General features: G+C 43.4%; 1 protein-coding gene across 2 annotated transcripts in view; it reads right to left on the bottom strand.

The window, feature by feature from the left end:
- HTT (huntingtin) overlaps positions 1-20784 on the bottom strand; it is a 169280-nt gene that overhangs the window by 136265 nt on the left and 12231 nt on the right. For both annotated transcript variants that reach the window (NM_002111.8, NM_001388492.1), the window contains 5 exon segments: positions 273-411; positions 2260-2339; positions 3813-3872; positions 8302-8422; positions 20674-20757. In NM_002111.8, coding sequence (NP_002102.4) covers positions 273-411; positions 2260-2339; positions 3813-3872; positions 8302-8422; positions 20674-20757 — 484 coding nt within the window.

Here is a 20784-nt window from a genome sequence, read left to right as displayed (position 1 = left end):
GCCGAAAACAAATCTGCTCTGGAAAAATGCCTTTTCAATTTGCATCTAGAAACCATCTCCCAATTCAACTCTTCACCCCACAGTAAGAAATGAGAAGTGGAAAGAAGTCCTTAGGTGCCTCAAAAATAACACAAATGATGGTAGTCTAAATTACGACATACAACATACCCCAAGAAGCACTCCCACAGGACTCCCTGTTCAGAAGCCCTCACCCTCCACAGACTCACTCACAGCATCACTCGCATGTTTGTGACCTGAGGCAACAATCATACCTTAATTTCATTGTCATTTGCAAAATTGCCAAAAGAAGCCATAATTTTGGGAACAGCTGCAGCCAAGGTCTCCTGGACTGATTCTTCGGGTCTCTTGCTTGTTCGAGTCAGGCACGGCAGAAGGTTCACCAGGTAAGGCCTGTGTATGCAAAAGAACGCAAGTCATTCTTCCAGCTCTCCTTCAGGAGAAACAGAAGCAATTCATTCCCTGTTAGGGAAAAGCCAGTTTTATATTCCAACAGTCCCTAATGGGATGGGGAAAACTCAGCTGAAAGAACAGGAGGATGAAATGTGGATGAAGCTCAAGTGTTGGGAGACATCCTTCATTTCTCTTATGATCACAGAGGATCTAAAAGGCTGGGTTTAAAAATTATTTGCAGTAAATCATAATACTTCTTAAAACACTCATTTTTAATTAGAAAATAAGTGTAAGAAAATACCATTTTAAAAACAAAAATTTTTAAATGGGAATAAAGCTTTCCTGAAAAAGGAGAATTATAAAATGGGGTTGTGGGGAGAGAAGAAAAGCCGAATGTGTAGGACACAGAGCAGTGAGTCACAGATCACAGGAATTCACCCAACACACAGAGTGACAGGGCAGGCCGGGTGCGAGGTGCCAGGAGTGGTGCAGCCCTGCCCTCTAGTGGCAGAGTCTGGCAACAAGCACGGCCTCAGAGGGTGGCTGGGGAAACCTCCCTAAGGAAGTGACTGTTCCGCTGAGAACTAAGGGGGAAAAAAAAACCATCAGGAGGAAGAAAAACCTGACTCTAATCAGACTAATGAGTCAATGCAGGGTGTCTGAGGTGACAGAGCCATTGACGAGTCTGGAATCTCTATCTAAACGGCACTGGGAAATGGGTACAAGAGTTTAAATAAGGGAATGACAAGACCCAGTTATATTCTTTAAGGTCACTTTGGCTGCTATGTGCAGAACCTGGATGTGTTGCTTCAGAAATATAACACATTTTTTTAAATGATAGTAAAAGAAAAAAGATTATACAAAAGGAAATTTCCTTAGTGATTATACCTCTGCAGCCATATAAGTTCTTTTCTGGATTTTGGTTTTTTTGAGACAGGTCTCACTCTGTTGCCCAGGCTGGAGTGCAGTGGTGCGATCTTGGCTCAACACGACCTCCACCTCCCAGGCTCAAGTGATCCTCCCACCTCAGCCTCTCGAGTGGCTGTGACCACAGGCACGCACCACCATGCCTGGCTAAGTTTTGTATTTTTTGTAGAGGCGGCGTTTCACCATGTTGCCTAGTCTGGGTCAAGCAATCCACCTGCCTTGGCCTCCTGAAGTGCTGGGATCAAAGGTATGAGCCACTATGCCCGACCCATATAAGATTCTTATTGAAACTCAGTTCATATTAATAGTGAGGGTTTAGACCACATTCCCAGTGACTCAGGATGGAGCTGAGGGTCTATGGGATATCAGCATCAGCATGTATTGCTGGTTAAGGAGAAGGAGGGAGCTGATGAAAAGTGGTCCTGCTTTTGTTTCTCAATCCGTTAAGATACAACTGTTTTGACTAAACCAAACTATTCACAGTGCAACAACCATATTTTTAACTCATGTAACAGACAAATGGATATTTTGCTATAACTCCTATAGTCAGCAATAATGAAATTGGTACCTCAACCTTCAACAATTTGGCAAGTATCTTTTAAGCAAGTACTATGTGCAGACACTGTTATCGCTGCTGGGCTGCAACAGAGCATAAGACAGTAAGACCCCTGCTGTCCTGGGGCACACATCCCATAAGTCTCTTGCGGAAGGGTGGGATAGAAAATAAACAAGCACACAGATAGACTGTACGTGACAATTTCTGACATGGATTAGTGCTATGAGGGAAACATAAACAGGGCAAGGTCGACTGCAATTTGGAGAGGGCAGAGCAGACTTTTGAAATGACATCTGAGCTGAGACATAAAGGATCAGTAGCAGCTGGCCCCCGACAAAAACCAACATCCAGAGTGTACAACTTACCTGCATTTCTGAGGCCGAACCAGGTGAGCCAGCTCAGCAAACCTCCACAGGGCAGCACGCAAACTCCGAGGGGCACCATTCTGAGGGGGTGCAATGAGGGTTGCATTAAGAGTCACATACTAGTCACCAAGAGGGTTGCATAGAAACGAAGCATTTTCTTTCCTTGTTACTTTCTAATTTTAGAGAAAAGGCCATTTAAATGCATAAAACATCTGGTAACTACTTTAAGGTCTAGTGGGCTTCAATTATAAAGATATAAAGTAAGTTACCATTTTTAATTCTCATCTCATCTAATAAAGAGTAACCTTTTGAAGAAAAGTAAAGCAATCGTCTACCAAACAGCATTTCCTTCTAACATTGTGAATTACTGAATAACGATGAAATCCCACACCTGCTGCTTAACAGAGTGAAGTTTGCTCAGTGATGGAAATAAGGGCCCAAGACCTGGTATTCGACAGCACAGCAGAGGGATCATAGACAATAATATATAGTCGATAATAGTGGTTTGTTTTTTGTTTTTTTGTTTTTCTTTTGAGACAGGGTCTCACTTGGTCGCCCAGGCTGAAGGGCAGTGGCACAATCTCAGCTACCTATAGATTCAACCTTCCAGGCTCAATTAATCCTCCCACCTCAATCTCCCAAGTAGCTGAGACTATAGTTGTGCACCACCACACCCAGCTAATTTCTGTACAGACAGCGTTTTGCCATGTTGCCCATGCTGGTCTCAAACTCCTGGTCTCAAGCATCCACCTGCCTCAGGTTCCCAAAGTGCTGGGACTAAGGTGTGAGCCACCACACCCGGCCCAATTTTATTTCATTTTTATTTTTTGAGACAAAGTCTCACTCTGTCGCTCAGGCTGGAATGCAGTGGCGTGATCTCGGCTCACTGCAACCTCCACCCCCAGGTTCAAGCGATTCCCCTACCTCAGCCTCCCGAGTAGCCAGGATTACAGGCGCCCGCCACCACACTTGGCTAATTTTTGTATTTTTAGTAGAGACAGGGTTTCTCCATGTTGGCCAGGCTGGTCTCGAACTCCTGATCTCAGGTGATCACCTGCCTCAGCCTCCCAAAATGCTGGGATTACAGGCATGAGCCACTGTGCCCTGACTGTTTTAGTTATTTTAAAATGTACAATCAGGCCCGGCACAGTGGCTCACGCCTGTAATCCCAACACTTTGGGAGGCCGAGGCGGGCGGATCACCTGAGGTCAGGAGTTTGAGACCAGCCCAAAGTTCGGTTGAACCCGGGAGGCGGAGGTTGCAGTGAGCCAAGGTCATGCCACTGTACTCTAGCATGGGTGAAAGCAAGACTCTGTCTCAAAAATAAAATAAAATAAGTAAAGCATGTAACTGGATTGTTTGTAACACAAAGGATAAATGCTTGAGGGCATGGATATCCAACTTTCCATGGTGTGATTATTATGTATTGTATACCTGTATCAAAATATCTCATGTACCCCATAAATATATACATTTACATGTACCTACAAAATACGTGTACCTATAAAAATTTAAAATTTAAAACATTTTTAAAAAAGAAAAGCAAGGCCCACCTTTTTAATTTCCTTATAGAGCTCGAGCTGTAACCTTGGAAGATTAGAATCCATCAAAGCCTACAACAAATCACAAGAGATTTATGGAAGACACATCCCATCACTAGTTCTAAAACGAGCTAAAAGGAAACTAAGATTTCAATTTTGGGGCAAAGCAAAACATAATAGCAACTAAATTAAGAATATATTCATTAAGAATGAAAGAAACAAATATATGCAGGAAGTTACTGAATAAACTAGATACAGGTCATTCACTTAAACAGAAAAATGGAAAGAAAAACAATTTAACTTTCATTATCATCAAATACTACATAACATCAAAATTAAAATGGTAGATGGTTCAAATACAATAAATCCTGGCCAGGTGGGGTGGCTCATGCCTGTAATCCCAGCACTTTGGGAGGCCAAGGCGGGCAGATCACCTGAGGTCAGGAGTTCAAGACCAGCCTGACCAACATGGAGAAACTCCGTCTCTACTAAAAAATACAAAAATTAGCCGGGTGTGGTGGTGGGCGCCTGTAATCCCAGCTACTCGAGAGGCTGAGGCAGGAGAATAGTTTGAACCCGGGAGGCGGAGGTTGCAGTGAGCCAAGATCACGCCATTGCACTCCAGCCTGGGCAACAAGAGCGAAACTCCATCTCAAAAAAAAAAAAAAAAAAAATTATATATATAGGATTTATATATATATAATAAATCCTAAAGCCCCTGGAGTAAATCTTTAATCTTCACTAGCAGAACATTCTGTTGGATGATACGGGCTCAGACGGCACCCTGGACATCTGCAGGGTCCCGAGCACTGTGGGTGTACTTATAAACCACAGACCCTCGCTCTGGCCTAGAACACTTCCCAAGGCGGAGTCCTGCATCCTTTTCTGCAGGTGTGGCCCCTCCTCACTGTCAGGTATGCCCGTGGTCCCTGCCCCCCTGACCCAGAGCCTGCTGCCAGCTGGGGCCCCACATTCCTCACAGCACATCTCTCAACCCTCCTTGCTCACTTGTGAGGCTAAACCAGAAAGTACGTCCAGATGGTCAACTTCAAGCTAGTAACGATGCTAACGGCACAAAGTCCACATTAGAGAAGGGCTTCTCAAGCTAGGGGATGGGACAGGGAAGACTTTGGTGCCCCACTCTCACCCATAGGAGCCTTCTCTTCCAAATGCTTGCCCACCCAAGAGGGAGGAAGCTGTGCCAAACATCAGTCGATGATCTCTTTAACCGTGGCATGGGCAGTTGATGTAAGTGGACTGAGATGGTCTTCGTAAAACTTGTGGGTTAACCTATTGGGTCAGCAAGCTTGAAAATCAAAACCAGATCACATTCTGGGAAATTCTGAGGAGTAAAAACATCTCAGAAACGTTTAAATCCTAATCCTGTTGTTGCAGTTTGTACTGAAAGTCCTTAAATGAGCAAAGCGAATTGGACAAACATTTATTTCAACATTACTTCTTAAATAAAACTAGAAGCCTTATCAAACCTTGATTTAGCTTTACAAATGTTTTGTAAACAAATACCAAGCTTATTGTATAACAAGAGAAAACTAAAACTCAGCCCCTCCTAAGAGCAGGGAATGGTCTCTCACAATCTACGCCAGTCGCTGGGTGATGGCAGCACGCTGCTGGCCTCTTCCCTCTTGCCCCTGCTTCCGCAGACACACAGGTGGCTGCCTCTCCTCACAGCCCTGCCACCATCCTGGCTCGAGGCCCTGCACTCCTGCTGGGTCTACTCACTCCCACCTGGACTCCCTCCCACCTGTCCTCCTCTACCCCACGTCCTCACCGGGTCACTCTTCCTAAATGATACACTCCCCTGACCACATCCAAAGTCTTCAAGAGCCCCTAATTCTCTACCAAACAAGGTACAACCCCTTGACCTGACCCTCATGGTGTCCCACTCTCTGGCAGCATAAGATGGGTTCAGCCTCCACAGCTTCCTGGCACCCCTTGAGACAAGAGGCGGTGATGATTAAGAAGGTCTCCAATCTACTCTTTCACCTACTGGCTGCTGACTCCAGGAAGCCTTTCCTGCCTCCCTAGACAAAAATCACTTCAGCCTCTTGACGGTGGTGGTGATTTGCCAGCACCTCACAGAACGGAGACTTTATGCCACATATGAAGTTCTTGCTGGACACACGTGCTTCACCGCCTGAGACTAACCTACCTGAGGGAGGCATGCTGCCAGGCTATGTCAGATACCCAGTGCATTTCTCTACAGAAACCACATGCAAAATGTGCCCATTTTCTTGGGCTAAGTAGAACCTAGTTTTCACCATACACACACAGCCATACTCATGAGAAGACAAAGTCTAGGACCTGAAGGCTACGTGACCATGCCTATGCTCCCTACAGCTGGCCTGGGGTCACACGTGCTCTCCCACGCCTCCCCCTACTCTGCCACAGTGAGAGCAAACCTAGCCAGATCCTGATCCCGCTGCCAGCCCGCTGGGCCTGACAACTACAGCATCTGAGGAAGCAGGAATCTGAGAGCAGCCAAACCCTGCTGCACCAAACTTAAGCATAAGGGAGAAATGGCTGGAAACAAAGAAGAGGACATGGGAAAGAAGCAAGGAGACAGCCAGGAAGAGCACCTGAGACCTAAAACCACAACCTAGGGCCATGGCCTACAGTCCTCAGACACACACCAAGCCACTGTGTCCAGCAATTCCTGGAAAAAAAATGAAGGAGGTTTAAAAAAGAACAATACTTACACATTAAATGACCAATATTAGAACAGTTTCTGTTCATATTCTCTCTGCCCTCTTAACGTCCCATTTGCCATGAACCAAGGCAACCTGGGATAGCCCTCTTTTTAGATTTTCTGACTCTGAGGATCAAATATCAAGAACTGAAACATCAAGGGCCAGGCACAGTGGCTCACACCTGTGATCCCAGCACTTTGGGAAACCAAGGAGGGAGGATCACTTGAGCCCAGGCGTTCAAGACCAGCCTGGGCAACCTGGCGAGATCCCATCTCTACAAATAATTTTAAAAATTAGCTGGGCATGGTGGTGCACGCCTGTAGTCCCAGCTACTCAAGGGGCCAAGCCAGGAGGATAGCTTGAGCCCGGTAGCTCAAGGCTGCAATGAGCCGTGATCAGCCACTGCACTCCAGCCTGGGTGACTGAGCGAGACCCTGTCTCATGCAAAGACAGACCGCCCTGGTCCTGCCAGTGAGAATAAAAGAAGCAAGCAAGGATATTTAGGCCTGTGGAGAAGCAAGCTTAACTGGAAGCAGGCCCTAAATGGCACCATGCAAGTGGTGCCAATGATCAGCAGGCACGGAGAACAAGGTGAAACTGATATACGTCACTGCATAAGTGAGATGCGAGCAAAGCAGGAATTGCAAGCGGAGAGAGAAGACAGTGACCACTCTAGGGACAAGACAGGGAGCTAGAATCCCATGGCTCCAGAGAAGCCAGCGTCCTGACCACAGAAAGCGTGATTAGCCAAACAACAAAGTGCTAGCCACAAAGCAAAGATTCCCTGGGCAAAAGGATACCATGGAAACCATGTGATGGAAAAAGAGAAGCAGTGCCACACCCATCAATCTTGCTGGGTAAGAGTGTAAGGATGTCATTATTAATAAGAACACTTCTTACCACTTTGAGGATCCAGTAGTGGCAATTAGTCCTCACACATACACAATTTAATCCTCACACATACACAGACACACACTCATACACATGCCACAAAAACATTGATCCCATTTTATGGTTAAGAAAACTGAGACTCATAGAAATTTGGGCATAGCTCTGGCTTCTCTGGTGCCTGTAGTGACATTTTCCCAGGAGCATCCAGTGGCTACCATCGGTTCCCTTCATTGACCTAGGCACCGTGCAGGCACAATTGTCAACATAGCGCCTTCTGACCGGGCAGGTGTGGCAAGCAATGCAGGCAGATACCAGAGCATCTCCAAACCATACAATAGAGCACCTCCAAACCATACAAGAGCACCTCCAAACCATACAACAGAGCACCTCCAAACCATACAACAGAGCACCTCCAAACCATACAAGAGCACCTCCAAACCATACAAGAGCACTTCCAAACCATACAATAGAGCACCTGCAAACCATACAATAGAGCATCTCCAAACCATACAAGAGCACCTCCAAACCATACAAGAGCACTTCCAAACCATACAATAGAGCACCTGCAAACCATGCAATAGAGCACCTGCAAACCATACAAGACCACCTCCAAACCATACAACAGAGCACCTCCAAACCATACAAGAGCACCTCCAAACCATACAAGAGCACCTCCAAACCATACAACAGAGCACCTCCAAACCATACAATAGAGCACCTCCAAACCATACAACAGAGCACCTCCAAACCATACAACAGAGCACCTCCAAACCATACATCAGAAAGGAAAAAAGTGCAGACATCCTCAGGGACTCAAAACAGAAGAACACTCAATGATCGCTTCTTCTCTCAGCCTACAACAATGATAGCTCTGAGGAGAACATCATCCACACGGTTCTTACTTTGATAACTTTGTTGAGGCATTCGTCAGCCACCATCCTGACATCTGACTCTGCGTCATCACTGCACAGCAGAAAAAGTTCCATAGCGATGCCCAGAAGTTTCTGAAATTCTGGAGAATTTCTAAGCAAAAAAAGAAGAGAAACTGTCAAGAGGAGCCTAAGGTGACATGACAATGAAATGTAATGAGGTATCCGGTGTCCTGCATGGAATTCTGGAACAGAAAAAGGACATTACATAGAAATTAAGAAAATCTGAATAAAGTCTGGACTTAAGTTAATAGCATATCAATATTGATTCATTAAACATGAAAATGTCTCACACTAAATTAGGATGATAATAACTGGGGTAACTGGATGTAGGGTATATGAAAACTTCCTACCCTATCTAATTTTTTTCTATAAATCTAAAACTATTTCAAAATAAAGTTTATTTTTTAAAAAAGAAGAGATTGTACTTGTAAGGCAATTCTCATTTTTCTTTTTAAATTTTCGTTTAAAAACTTCAGATACTTCAATCCTAGACAACCCACTGCTTTCTACCAAAAGTTTACTTTTACTCTTAACCTACAATATTCTTGGAACCTTGAAAATCAGTTCAGCAGTCTATCTCTCCTGCCCCTTTTTAATCTTGCTTTCGGTATGGGCCAAAGTATAACCATATTTCACCCTAAGATGCCAGATGATCATGGTCAGATTGTGTTTTTGTTGTGCGAGACAAAGAGTCACAAAAACTGGAGTTTGTTTACTATTTGTAAACTATTTTAAAATGTTTAATTGAAAGAAGCTGTTTAGGCCATCATGCTCCAACTGTCTAAACAAAGCCAAGAGAGAGCTAAACTGATGAGCCATGTACATGAAACTGACTTCACAGCATTCAGAAGCATCCAAACCAGTAACACAAGGATGTTCTTGAAGTAATCCCAAGAATAGCAAATCCCAGTAATACGGGGGATGTGCTATTTTTGAAGCATCAAAATGAGGTTGCTCTTTCATGATCCCAATCTAACTACTCTGAAACCAAATGTCTCTTTCTCTTTATCTCTAGGTAAAAATTGCAAACAATGGTTGGAAGATAGCAATGAGCCTAAGAGGCACCAAAAGTCCACATCAGTAATGATCAACAAACTTATAAAAGCATAAAACAAAACATGCCACTTAGCAGTATTTCAGACCTTATCTATGTGGAATACAGACAGCCATGAATAACGAACTGAGGAAAGGTCTTTGAAATGATAGATCATTCAAACACTGTGCTCCAAAGCAGTACTGTCAACAGAAACAGAATGTGAGCTACACTTTTATATTTCCTAGCTGACGCATCAAAAGTAAAAAGAAAACAGGCAAGATTTTCATAATATTTAATTTAACCCAATACACCCAAAGTATTATTTCAACATGTAATTAATGTGAAGAAATAATTAAGATATATAACATTTTTTACAGTATATCTCAATTCAGACACTAAATTTTCATCAGAAAACCTTTACCTGTGATTAGACTTCATAAAATTCAGTTGAAAAAGTTCGTATACCATTTCCAACCACACTTAAAAGTTTTCCAGTAACTAAATATTGATTTTTACATTTAAATTCAATAAAATAGATATAGGGCTAATCAGCTTATCTATATCTTCTTGAGAGAGCTTTAATAGTTTCTGTGTCTTTCAAGGAACTCATCCATTTCATCTATAAGTTGTCAAATTTATTGGCATAAAGTTGTTCATAATATTACCATATAGTCCTTTTTATTTATTTATTTGTTTTGAGATGGAGTCTTGCTCTGTCACCCAGGCTGGAGTGCAACGGCACAATCTCAGCTCACTGCAACCTCCGCCTCCCAGGTTCAAGCAATTCTCCTGCCTCAGCCTCCCAAGTAGCTGGGATTACAGGCACACAGCACCACGACCAACTAATTTTTGTATTTTTAGTAGAGACAGAGTTTCACCATGTTGGCCAGGCTGGTCCCAAACTCCTGACCTCAGGTGATCTGTCCACCTCGGCCTCCCAAGGTGCTGGGATTACAGGCGTGAACCACCACACCTGCCTCATACAGTCCTTTTAATATCTATATAATCTATACTACTGTCATCTCCCTCATTCCTGATATTGCTAATTTGTGACTTCACTGTTTTTCCTATCAGCTTTACCAATTTATTGATGTTCTTGATGAACCAGCTTTTGGTTTTATTGATTTCCTATGTATTTTTGTTTTCTATTTTACTGACTTCTGCTCCTATCTTTATGATGTCCATTCTTCTAGTAACTGTTTTTGTTTTTGAGACAGGGTCTCATTCTGTTGCCCAGGATGGAACACAGTGGCACAATCACAGTTCACTGCAGCCTCAACCTCCCAGACTCAAGCAATCCTCCCACCTTAGACTCCTGGTTAGCTGGGACTACAGGCACATGCCACCACACCTGGCTAATTTTTTTGTTTTTTGTAGATATGGGGTCTCCCTAGGCTGCCCAGGCTGGTCTTCAACTGCCAGTCTCAAACAATCCACCTGCCTCGGCCTCCCAAAGTGGCAGAACTGCAGGCATAAGCCACCGTACCTGGCCCTTCTGGTAACTCTGGATTCCATTTGCTTGTCATTTTCAAGTTTCCAAAGGTAGAAGCTGAGGTCATTGATTTGAAATCTTTCTTTCCTAAAACAGGCATTTAATGCTAGAAATTTCCATTTACTATGCTGTAACAGCACCCCACAAGTTTAGAAATCTATTGTTTTTATATCAGTCAATCCAAAAGACTTTCAAATTTCCCTTTTGACTTCACTTCTGACCCATGGGCCATGTGGAAATGGGTTTTTCCACATATCTGAGGCTTTTCCAGGTTATCTTCCTATAATATATTCCAACTTAATGATACTGAGGTCAGAAAACATACTCTGAATAATTTGAATGCTTTTAATTTAGAGACTTGTTTTATGGCCCAGCATCTGCTCTATCTTGGCAAACATTCTGTGAGCACTTGAGAGAGTGTCTCTTCTGCTGGTGCTGGGTGGAGTGTCCTGTAAATGCCAATGAGGTTGCACAGGGGACAGTGTTGGTCAAGTGTTCTAGATCCAGATATTATGGCTACGTGTTCTACAAATCATTGAGAGCGGCTACTGAAATCTCTATCACTGTGGATTTGTCTGTTTCTACTTGTAGTTCTGTCAGGCTTTGCTTCATGTATTTTAGCTCTGTAGTCCGGTGCATAAACATTTCAGCTTGCTATGCCAGGCTGATGAACGAATCCCCTTCATCATTATGAAATGACCATCTCATCCTGGGCAAGAGCCTTTGCTTTGAAATCCACTTTGTCTGATATTAACAGAACCAGTCTAGCTTGCATCTAATTCTTGTAAGCACAGTGAACTTCTTTCCGTTCTGTTACCTGTAGGTTATTTTTGCCTTTATATTTAGAATGTGTTTCTTGCAGGCAGCAGCATATACCGAGTCTTACTTTTCCATTCAATCTGAAAAATCGCTGCCTTTTACATGTAATGTCCTTTTTGACATAGTTAGGTTGAAATCTACCATCAAGCTCTTTCTTTCCTTTATTTGCCTCTTCCCCTATTTCTGGCTTCTTTGGGATTCACCATTTTTATTATTCTAATCTCCTTTTTTGGTTCATTAGCTATAATTCCTTGTTGTGCTTTTAGTTGTTGCTTAATTGTTTATACTATGTATCTTCATCACAATCTACCTTATTACACCATTTCACATGCAGCATAAATTAGTTTCCTGCAGCTGCTGTAACAAATTACCACAAACTATGTGGCTTAAAAGAAACAAACAAACAAAAAATTTTTTCTTTCACAGTTTTAGAGGCCAGAGTCCAAAATTAGTATCACTAAACTGAAATTAAGGAATTCCCTCGCCCTCGCCCTCGCCCTCGCACAGTCTCCCTCTGATGCCGAGCCAAGGCTGGACTGTACTGCCACCATCTCTACTCACTGCAACCTCCCTACCTGATTCTCCTGCCTCAGCCTGCCAAGTGCCTGGGATTGCAGGCACGCACCGCCATGTCTGACTGGTTTTCGTGTTTTTTGGTGGAGACGGGGTTTCGCCGTGTTGGCCGGGCTGGTCTCCAGCTCCTGACTGCAAGTGATCTGCCAGCCTCGGCCTCCCGAGGTGCCGGGATTGCAGACGGAGTCTCGCTCACTCAGTGCTCAGTGTTGCCCAGGCTGGAGTGCAGTGGCGTGATCTCGGGTCACTACAACCTTCACCTCCCAGCCGCCTGCCTTGGCCTCCCAAAGTGCCAAGATTGCGGCCTCTGCCCAGCCGCCACCCCGTCTAGGAAGTGAGGAGCGTTTCTGCCTGGCCGCCCATCGTCTGGGATGTGAGGAGCCCCTCTGCCTGGCTGCCCAGTCTGGGAAGTGAGGAGCGCCTCTTCCCGGCTGTCATCCCATCTAGGAAGTGAGGAGCATCTCTGCCCGGCCGCCCATCGTCTGGGAAGTGGGGAGCACCTCTGCCCCGCCGCCCCGTCTGAGATGTGAAGAGCACCTCTGCCCGGCCGTGACTCCGTCTGGGAACTTAAGAATGTCTCTGCCCCACTGCCACCCCGTCTGGGAGGTGAGGAGCGTCTCTGACCAGCCGCCCCGTCTGAGAAGTGAGGAGCCCCTCCGCCCAGCAGCCGCCCCGTCCGGGAAGTGAGGAGCCCCTCCGCCCGGCAGCCGCTCCGTCCGGGAGGTGGGGGGCAGCCCCCGCCCGGCCAGCCGCCCCGTCCGGGAGGTGGGGGGCAGCCCCCGCCCGGCCACCCGCCCCGTCCGGGAGGTGGGGGGCAGCCCCCGCCCGGCCAGCCGCCCCGTCCGGGAGGTGGTGGGCAGCCCCCGCCCGGCCACCCGCCCCGTCCGGGAGGTGGGGGGCAGCCCCCGCCCAGCCGCCGCCCCGTCTGGGAGGTTGGGGGGCGCCTCTGCCCGGCCGCCCCATCTGGGAAGTGAGGAGCCCCTCTGCCCGGCCGCCACCCCATCTGGGAGGTGTACCCAATAGCTCATTGAGAACAGTCCATGATGACGGTGGCAGTTTTGTCGAATAGAAAAGGAGGAAATGTGGGAAAAGAAAGAGAGATCAGATTGTTACTGTGTCTGCGTAGAAAGAAGTAGACATAGGACACTCCATTTTGTTCTGTACTAAGAAAAATTCTTCTGCCTTGGGATGCTGTTAATCTATAACCTTACCCCCAACCCCGTGCTCTCTGAAACATGTGCTGTGTCCACTAAGGGTTAAATGGATTAAGGGCGGTGCAAGATGTGCTTTGTTAAACAGATGCTTGAAGGCAGCATACTCGTTAAGAGTCATCACCACTCCCTAATCTCAAGTACCCAGGGACACAAACACTGCAGAACGTGGCAGGGCCCTCTGCCTAGGAAAACCAGAGACCTTTGTTTACATGTTTATCTGCTGACCTTCCCTCCACTATTGTCCTATGACCCTGCCAAATCCCCCTCTCCAAGAAACACCCAAGAATGATCAATAAATACTAAAAAAAAAAAAAAAAAAAAAAAACCAACTTAAAGGGGTAAATGATATCTTAAAAAAAAAAAAAAAAAAGGAATTGGCAGCACCACATTCCCTCTGGAGTAGGCTCTAAATGAGAACTGCTCCGTGCCTCTTCCAGCTTTGGTGGCTGCTGCATTCCTTGGCTTATAGCTTCATCACTCCAATTTTCAAGGCCAGCACCTTCAAATCTTTCTGTTCCATCTTCACAGGGCCTTCTCTCTGTGTGTAAAATCTCCCTCTGCCTCCTTTTTATATATATGTGATTGCATTTAGTGCCTACCCAGATCATCCAAGATAGCCCCCTCATCTCAAGATCCTGAATTTAATCACATCATAAAACAATTTTCCATATAAAGTAATATTTACAGGCTCCAGGGATTAGGACTTGATATCTTTTGGGGAAAGAGGGGAGCATTATTCTGCCCAGCGCAAATACATGTCAATTTCTGCTCTTCCAGCCTTTATGCTATTGTCATACAATTCACTTCTACGTGTTACAAACACTGAAATATATTATTTTTGTTGCGAACAATTTAATTAATCTCTTTTTAATATTAGGTAGGGTCAGAGTAACGAAACTTAGTCTGGGGCTAGGTGGGCAAACCCTTCTGAGTACCCTACCTGCTCTATGAGAGCTGAGGTTTTCCACTCCAACTGGTGTGATTAGAAATTCTTCCTGGCCCTGTGTGACTTTCAGCAACTGTTCCTTCTAATCCTTTCAGGTGGCTCTACCTCCAGCCCTGGGTCATTTCCGCACAAGCAAGTGCTCGTCAGTACTCAGCTACACACATGACAGGGTACTGAGAGGGCAGGGTGCAGGTCTCCGGAGCTCCCTCTGCAGCTCTCTTCCCTGGTATTCTTCCATATGGGCTCTCACCACCTTGCATCTCTGCACTCCCAGCTCTGCCTCCTCAACCCAGCAAACCACTGGCTCAGCCTCAGTCTCCTCTCAGTTTTTCCTCTTGCCATGACCAGGCAGTAATGTAAGGAAATTGTAGGGCTCTCCACATTCATTTTCCTGGGATAACTATTCTTCTTTGCCTGATGCCCAATAACTTGAAAACCACTGTTACATATATTTCTTCCGTTTTCAACTATTTCAAGGCAAGAAGATAAATGCTGTCCTTGTTATTCTATCTTAGCCAGAAGCAAAAATCTTTCATTATTTTTTAACTGAATTTTTTAACACATTGTTAATATATTTTCCAGTCACAAATATAAATATCTATTGGTCAGAAGTGGTGGCTCATGCCTGTAATCTCAGCGCTTTGGGAGGCCAAGGTGGGAGGATCACTTGGGCCCAGGAATTCTAGACCAGCCTGGGCAATACAGCAAGATCTCATCTATAAAACATTTAAAAATTAGCCAGGTATAGTAGCACTGCCTAAAGTCCCCCAGGTACTCAAAAGGCTGAGGCAGAAGGATCACTTAAGCCCAGGAGTTCAGGCTGCAGTGGGCTATGATTGTGCAACTGCATCCTGCCTGGGTGACAGAGTAAGATCCTGTCTCTAAAAAAAATTTTTTTAATAAAAAGTAAACAAAATATAAATATCTATGAATGTTAACTAACATTCTCTTGTATAAATGTATCTGGCCAGGCGCAGTGGCTCACACCTGTAATCCCAACACTGGGAGGCCGAGGGGCGCGGATCATGAGGTCAGGAGTTCGAGACCAGTCTGGCCAACACAGTGAAACCCCATCTCTACTAAAAATACAAAAAATTAGCCGGGTGCGGTGGTGTGAGCCTGTAATCCCAGCTACTCAGGAGGCTGAGGCAGGAGAATCACATGAACCCGGGAAGCAGAGGTTGCAGTGAGCCGAGATCGCACCATTGCACTCTGGCCCAGGCGGACAGTGCAAGACTCCATCTCAATAAACACATAAATAAATATATCTTAAATTTTCAATCCCCTTTTAGTGGTAGGCCATTAAGGTTATTTTTAATTTTCTAATGGGATGAAGGGCACTGCACCAATATCATTACACACTTTCCTAGGGGTAAGCACCCTAGAGGTAAAACTGCTAGGTCAGACATATAATAATCTAAAGCTTTATATTTTCCCAAATTGCCTTCTTAGAAGGTTGTATCACCTCTGACAAAAATCTGAATATTCTTAATGTTTGCCAATTTGACAGGTAAAAAAGGTTCTTATTTTTGTTTCAGTTTCAGTCTACTGATTACTAGTGTCCTAATCAGCTTGAGTTTCTATAACAAAATACCACATACAGACTGGGTGGTTTAAACAATAAGCACTTACTCGTCACAGTTCTGGAGGCTGGGAGTCGGAGAACAAGGTGCCGACAGGTCGACAGTGTTTTTCTTAACGATATTTATAACTGCTCTTTACACAGGCTAGTAACCTTTGATCTATATGCTGTCAATACTTTCCCCAAGTTCAATTTACTTTCAATTTTGTTGAAGGTGGATTTTGACATATTGAACTATATTCCACTCAAAACAGTTTTTTCCTTTATAATGTTAACCTTCCTCAAACTAAGATTACATTTTTTAAAGAAATTATTTCATTTTTTCACATTTAGGTAATTAATCTGAACTTTATGTTTGTTTGCAATATGAGGTAGAGATATAATGTTCTCCCAAAGTCAGAGAAATGTATCATTTCCCTCATTTCCCTAATACATATATGTTACACCCATCATAAATTCATACAGATACACACATACACTCTTCTTTCTGTTCTATACCTGTTTTAACATCCAATCACTATTTTAATGTCACATACATTAAGTCTCACCATATTAGTGTTGATTTCTTTTTCTTTTTTCTCTTTTTTCTTGAGACAGAATTTTGCTCTTGTCGCCCAGGCTGGAATGCAGTGGTGCGATCTAGGCTCACCGCAACCTGTACCTCCTGGGTTCAAGCAATTCTCCTGCCTCAGCCTCCCAAGTAGCTGGGACTACAGGCATGCACCACCACACCCAGCTAATTTTTGTATTTTTAGTAGAGGCAGTGTTTCACCGCACTGGTCCAGCTGGTCTCAAACTCTTGACCTCAGGTGATCTGCCTGCCTCAGCCTCCCAAAGTGCTGGGATTACAGGCATGGGCCACCACACCAGGCCTGGTGATGATTTTGAGATATTCTTTGCAATTATGTATTTATTCTTGCAGTGAACAAGTTCAAAAATACCTCTACTAGAATTTTGATCAAGATTATTTTAAATTTCTGTGTTAATTTAGAGAAAATTCAACTTAGTAATATAAAATCTTCCTATCTAGAAAGTGGTCACCTATATCTTTCAGAAACATTAACAGAAGTTTTTATAAAGTTTTTGCATATTTATCGATTCCTTAGAGTTCGATATATTGGTGCTACTGTGAACTAGATCTTTAAACGTTATATTTTCTAGCTGATTTATGCTAATATATGGGAGATCTATGGATTTTTGTATATTTATGTTTACCTAGCCACCTTATCAAGGTACATATTAGTAAGAGGTTGCTCAAGTAAGCATTCCTGGGTATTCCCAAGAGGATACTTGTGAAAAATGTGTAGTCCCTACCTACTCAAACAGAATGCAGAAGTATGTTTGGGAAAAAGGACAGTGAGGTGCCTTCATTACTGTATTTTTAACAAATTTTCCAGATGATTTTGATGCTCATCCATACTTAGGAACCAGTAACTTAGACCACTTTAGAGAGCTTAAAGCAGACTACATTTTCACAATATACATGAAGTTTTAAATGACTTCCTACATTGAAAACGTCAGAAGCTGCCATTTATATAACCTCATTAGAGACAAAAATTAGTCTAGCACAAAAGCTATAAAAAAGTTCCAAAAGTTTAATTATATTTTAGGAGAGTTAACAGGAAACAGCGATGAGCAATAAGTTTCCATAAAACATATTTACATAAAATATCACCTTCAGCTATATACTCTGAAATCCCTAAAAAGTATAGAGTGTATCCTATGAAACCAAGAATAACCTCTCTGACTCCAAAAACTCCTTTTAACATGCTCTTCTGTAGAACAAGCATAATGAACTCTCAGCATTACTCCATAAAAACAAGAGACAGACTAATGTGAAAACCATTAACAGCTATTATTTTGATTTAATATGGCATATAGAACCACAAATCAATCTTAAGATGTCTCAACATACTTTACTAATATATGAATATAAGCCAACATTCCATGAATTCCATTTGAAAATTATCAAAAGACAAAATGACAAGAATAAAGCCTGACGCACTCAGATTGAAAGAGATCTTATTTCCTGGGTCAATAAGCTTTCAGAGAGAAATTATGTTCTCTGAGACCTGGATGGTGGAGATCAGATGAACAATGACCAAATGTTTGCCAAGTATTTAAAGTCATTTCACAAAAAAAGTAAAGATGGCCAGGGGCAGTGGCTCACGCCTGTAATCCCAGCACTTTGGGAGGCCGAGGCGGGCGGATCACGAGGTCAGGAGATCAAGACCATCCTGGCTAACACGGTGAAACCCCATCTCTACTAAAAATACAAAAATTTAGCCAGGCATGGTGGCGGGTGCCTGTAGTCCCAGCTACTTGGGAGGCTGGGGCAGGAGAATAGCGTGAACCCGGGAGGTGGAGCTTGCAGTGAGCTGAGATTGCACCACTGCACTCTAGCCTGGGCAACAGAGCAAGACTCTGTCTCAAAAAAAAAAAAGTAAAGATAACATATAGCTTTGGATGATGGGCATCGCAATGGGATACGCTTCCCGCTCAGGTGGCTAATGAACATATCTATGCAGTTGCTTTTTCACAGTGTTTCACATGTACCATCTGATCCCACAAGAACTGTGTAACTAGGGATTACATTTCAAAAATGAGCCAGTAAGGCTCAAACACGTTACAGCTTATCTAAAGTCACCCAGCTTACACAGGTAGCAGAGATAGAATTCAAACCTTTTTTTTTCCTACTTTTATCATAGCGTTGTATTCTACAATAGCATGCTAACTTAGAATTTTTATATTTTTATTTTCAGGACATATGCTCATTTGTTATTTCATTTTCTTCCCACAACATTTCCACAAATTAGACAGAAACAGAACAGAATCATACACAGTATTTCACAAACAACAGAAATGAGTTAACCTAAAATGAAACGGTTTTGTGAAATCACTTTGAAAGTATATAATACAAATGCACAGAGGCATTAAAAATAAGCAGATCACCAAAAAAAAAACACAAATCCTGTAGGAATCCACTTACATGAGGTCTCCAGAGCAGTTACACTCATACAGACAGAAAGTAGAAAGGGACTACAGGAAAGAATGGATGATAGGGAGTTTAATGAAGACAGATGTTCAGTTTTGACAGAAGAAAAACTTATGAAGTAGATGGCAGTGATGGCTGTACAACATTACGAATATATATACTGAACTGTACCCCTAAAAATGGTTAAGACAGTCAATTTTATGTGCATTTTACCACAATAAAAAGACAAGAGAGGGCCGGGCGCGGTGGCTCACGCCTGTAATCCCAGCACTTTGGGAGGCTGAGTTGAGCGGGTCATGAGGTCAGGAGATCAAGACCACGGTGAAACCCCATCTCTACTAAAAATACAAAAAATTAGCCGGGTGTGGTGGCGAGCACCTGTAGTCCCAGCTACTCGCCAGGCTGAAGCAGGAGAATGGCGTGAACCTGGGAGGCAGAGCTTGCAGTAAGCCAAGATCATGCCACTGCACTCCAGCCTGGGTGACAGATCGTGACTCCGTCTCAAAAAAAAAAAAAAAACAAAAGTGAAAAGCAATGGCCAAGAGGAAATTTTTTGAAAAAACAAATGAATCACCGGGCGCCCTGGCTCACGCCTGTAATCCCAGCACTTTGGGAGGCTGAGGCGGGCAGATCACCTAAGGTTGGGAGTTCGAGATCAGCCTGACCAACATCTCTACTAAAAATACAAAATTAGCTGGGCACAGTAGCACATGCCTGTAACTCCAGCTACTTGGGAGGCTGAGGCAGGAGAATCACTTGAACCCAGGAGGCAGAGGTTGCAGTGAGCCGAGATCACGCCATTGCACTCCAGCCTGGGCAACAAGAGTGAAACTCCGTCTCAAAAAAAAATTAAAAAAAGAATCACCACACGTTTTTGTCAGTACTAAAATCAAGATTATTTGTCTAAAAATTTTTTTCTGACTGACTATAAAGGCTTTTTCTAGCTTCTACCAGGAGAATAACATGAATTATTTATTCCAAGGGAAAGTAAGGCAAGGCAACTATTTCACGCATGCCCATGTGGGTAACAGAATTCAGATATCATAGGTGAATATGTCTCCTACTGAGCCATTGGAAACAGGCCTAAATATATTTACCATCTACAGCTACTAGGAACAACGGTCAGAAAGATAGTCAAAAGCAAAGCAGCTACAAAAGAAGGTGCTGCTAGTTCATCCCAGTGAGAAAGATCAAGCAAGGAAAGCTGACCTACAGTCAATGCCCCACGATCCCCACTAATCCCGAAGCACAGAGGAGTGGGCTCCAGCCACTGCTAGGAGCAGAGGTACAATAGGACAGCAAACTGCCAAGAAAAAGCAAATAAGAGAGACAAACTGAACTGTCTTGTGCTGTTCCTACTATTGCAACAAATGCAAAAATATCAAACCATAGATGGTTTTAAAATAACTATAGTTGCTAAGGGTGTTAACTAAACATAAACATGTTGTTCAATTACCATAATGGTTTTAATTTTTGCATAAAAGATTACAAAAAGGGAACATTATTCATTTCAGTGTCTGGATATCCTTGTATATAGCCAGAAATATGGGAAAAGGGTCCTTCTTCATCTTAAATGGATTTCTGAATCCATTTAAAATAGCTGGGACACAAAGAATATTCTAGCCCATTAAGACTGAAAATATACAAAGTTCTTATTTTCTCTAGACAGTTCAAAGTGCAATTACCTGACAGACTGTGCCACTATGTTTTCACATATTGTCAGACAATGATTCACACGGTCTTTCTTGGTAGCTGAAAGTTCTTTCTTTCTAAAAATAAAAAAAAGAAGGAAATTA

This window comes from Homo sapiens, chromosome 4 (assembly GCF_000001405.40).
Source record: "Homo sapiens chromosome 4, GRCh38.p14 Primary Assembly".
Classification (NCBI taxonomy): domain Eukaryota; kingdom Metazoa; phylum Chordata; class Mammalia; order Primates; family Hominidae; genus Homo; species Homo sapiens.
This window is presented reverse-complemented; position numbering and strand designations above follow the sequence as displayed.